The sequence below is a fragment of the Homo sapiens genome, chromosome 4 (genome assembly GCF_000001405.40).
Source record: "Homo sapiens chromosome 4, GRCh38.p14 Primary Assembly".
Lineage (NCBI taxonomy): Eukaryota > Metazoa > Chordata > Mammalia > Primates > Hominidae > Homo > Homo sapiens.
This window is the reverse complement of record NC_000004.12, coordinates 12,631,441-12,634,001: the sequence shown is the minus strand read 5'-3', so window position 1 is coordinate 12,634,001 and position 2,561 is coordinate 12,631,441. Positions and strand designations below refer to the sequence as shown.

General features: G+C 36.2%; 1 annotated feature.

Annotated features, from left to right (window-relative positions):
- Positions 639 to 698: an enhancer, noted in NCBI's record as "active region_21323". NCBI's record gives its function as "activates an Ori minimal core promoter by ATAC-STARR-seq in GM12878 lymphoblastoid cells {active_cell/tissue: GM12878}" and the evidence as "EXISTENCE:reporter gene assay evidence [ECO:0000049][PMID:35858748]".

Below are 2,561 nucleotides of genomic sequence, written 5' to 3'. Positions count from 1 at the left end.
CTTAACATACAGATTTAAGGATTTTAATAAAAAATATTAATCTCTTGATTTATTGCAGAAGTTTTAAAACAACCAACTGAACACATATGCTTAGATATATGTACACACACATACATTATAGTCTAATGTAGATAATGTTTACTGTGAACCTGCTGTGGGGCAGACACTGTGCTCAACATGTATACATACATATATATCTATGTTAGACTACAGTTTTTCTCCATAAATTTATATGTAATTTAGAACAAGGTGACTCGAAAATAATTAGTTTTTGATTGATTTACTTATTCATTTATTTATTCATTCCCTTAAGCACTCATGCATCAAATCTTTGTAGAATACCTGCCATGTGTCAAACCCTGCTCTAGGCAAGAGCGTATACATAGATGAATTATATGGGTCCCCTGCACCGCGTGAGTTAGTTGGCTCCTGGGGAAGGCAGACGTATACAGAGATAATCACAAAGTGAAGGAGGACAAAGCACCATGATGATAATAAAAGTGGAAGACACACAAAGCTCTTCATTTTCAATTTTGTAAAGTAAGAATTACACAGAGGAAAGTGTGAAGGGAAGTGTCACCTGTTATCTATTAATGGTTATAATTATTTGATTATATTTTTACATTGAATGATAATTCAACATAGGACAGTCTCTTCGAGATCACATCGCTGAGTATCATCCCCCAAGGCTTCTTAAATTCAAGGTCTACTGGCACCTATGCGGCAATACACATTGTGGCCTGTAGATGGCAGGCGTCGCTCACTGTTTCGATGGATCTCATCCACACCTGACGGATGATGCAGCCTTAAGCTTTGGGCCAGAGTCGTCTCGCAGGTCTGCCTACCGCTGCTCCACAAGTGCAGAGCTACATATTTATTTACTTCGTTCATCTTAAAATCTTGTGATGTAACACATTTTTCATGTCAGAGATTTTTAATGTTCCTGAACATTTTGTGAGCAGAACTTAATGCTTGTGGGAAGGGCTTCAACTTGAATGACTTTTGATGTTTGGATGTAAATAAAGAATTATTTAAGAAAAAAAAAAAGTCGATATTGTAGAATAATCAAGTAAATTAAAAATAGAGGGCACTAACCCTACGTATAAATGTGCCTGCTAAGCATAGACGCTATTTGCAATACCCCACCACTTCCTTCTCCGAGATCATGGCAATGTTAGCACCTTGGCCCCAGGGCTAGAATTATTTCATCTAAGCAAGAATCTATTGGCTTCCGACTATGTGCAAGACGCTGCATTGGGTGATAAGGGGATATATAGTTGAATAAGCATAAAACCTGGCCTTATAGGACTTATAATTCGGGGGAGACAGCTAACAACAATGCAGAAATTCTAGCAAGTCGCTGTGAGAGTGGAGTTGTGGAGGATATTACACCCAATAATGGGTAGAATAATTGTGGAGAAAATGAAATTAGAGTCAGCTGTGGGGTTACCCAGAGAAACTTCACAGGCAGTTTTGAGGAGAAGGCACCTCAAATATTTTGATCAGTTTAGGCAAAACTATATTTTAAAAGCCCCCTGGAAATATAAATTGCATACCTGTTTTTCTTTTTAAATTTGTGTCCACTTCTTGTAACACATAATTACATGTGATAATAAATGGACTCTGATTTTAGATTTCACAGCCAACAAATCTATATAATCCCCAAATAAATGAGTCTATGTCCTCTGTGCAATTTACTGTGTATCTTGAAATAATTGTGTATTTATATCACATTAAAATAAACCTAATTGGCAACTTTATAATTTTAACATATGCTAATCATTTTTAAAATTGCAAAGTTCAGAAAAATTTAGACACTAATGAAAATAACCTGTAATCTCAACTTCCCAATAAAGCTATGCCTAATATTTCTGTGTTAAACAAAATCTTAATGATTACATAAGAATTCTAATAGCAAAATGTTTATATTTATAAAAATCTAGTAAAATCAGACTAAACTTATTGATGCTTAAAGCTAGTCATGAGCATAATGACATTTTCCTGCCTTGTTAAGAATTGTAAAATCAATGAAAACGATTTACATTTTAAAACTGGAAAAAAAAAACTAGTCTCCGCTTTCGCCTTTAACAGATTTGAGTTTAAACCCCAGCTAAATTGAGCTTTTTATTGCGTAGTAATTTCTCTTTCTGAGGTCCTATTTCCTGTTTTGTAAAATGGAGTTACAATGTCTATCCTTGGTTGTGAGGTTTAAGAAAAGTCATGTGCTAGACCTGGCACATGGCAGGTGCTTAGCTGATATAACTTTTCCCCAACTCTTTATGTCAAGGAAGTTCCTTTTCTCTCTCCTGTTGAGAATCCCTGAGAAGCTTTTAAACAACACCCTAGTCCAGGATTCCTTAGCTGAAGGGCTACGGACCTTTGGGTTCTGATAAATCTTCGTTATGGGAACTATAGGGTGTTTGACAGCATCTGTGTTCCCTATTCAATAGATGCCAGTGGCAACTCCCGTATCTGTGGCAACTTCCCTATTTTTGGCAACCAAAAATGTTTTCAATCATGGCCAAAATCATCTCCCCGGGGCAAAATCTCCTCTGCATGAG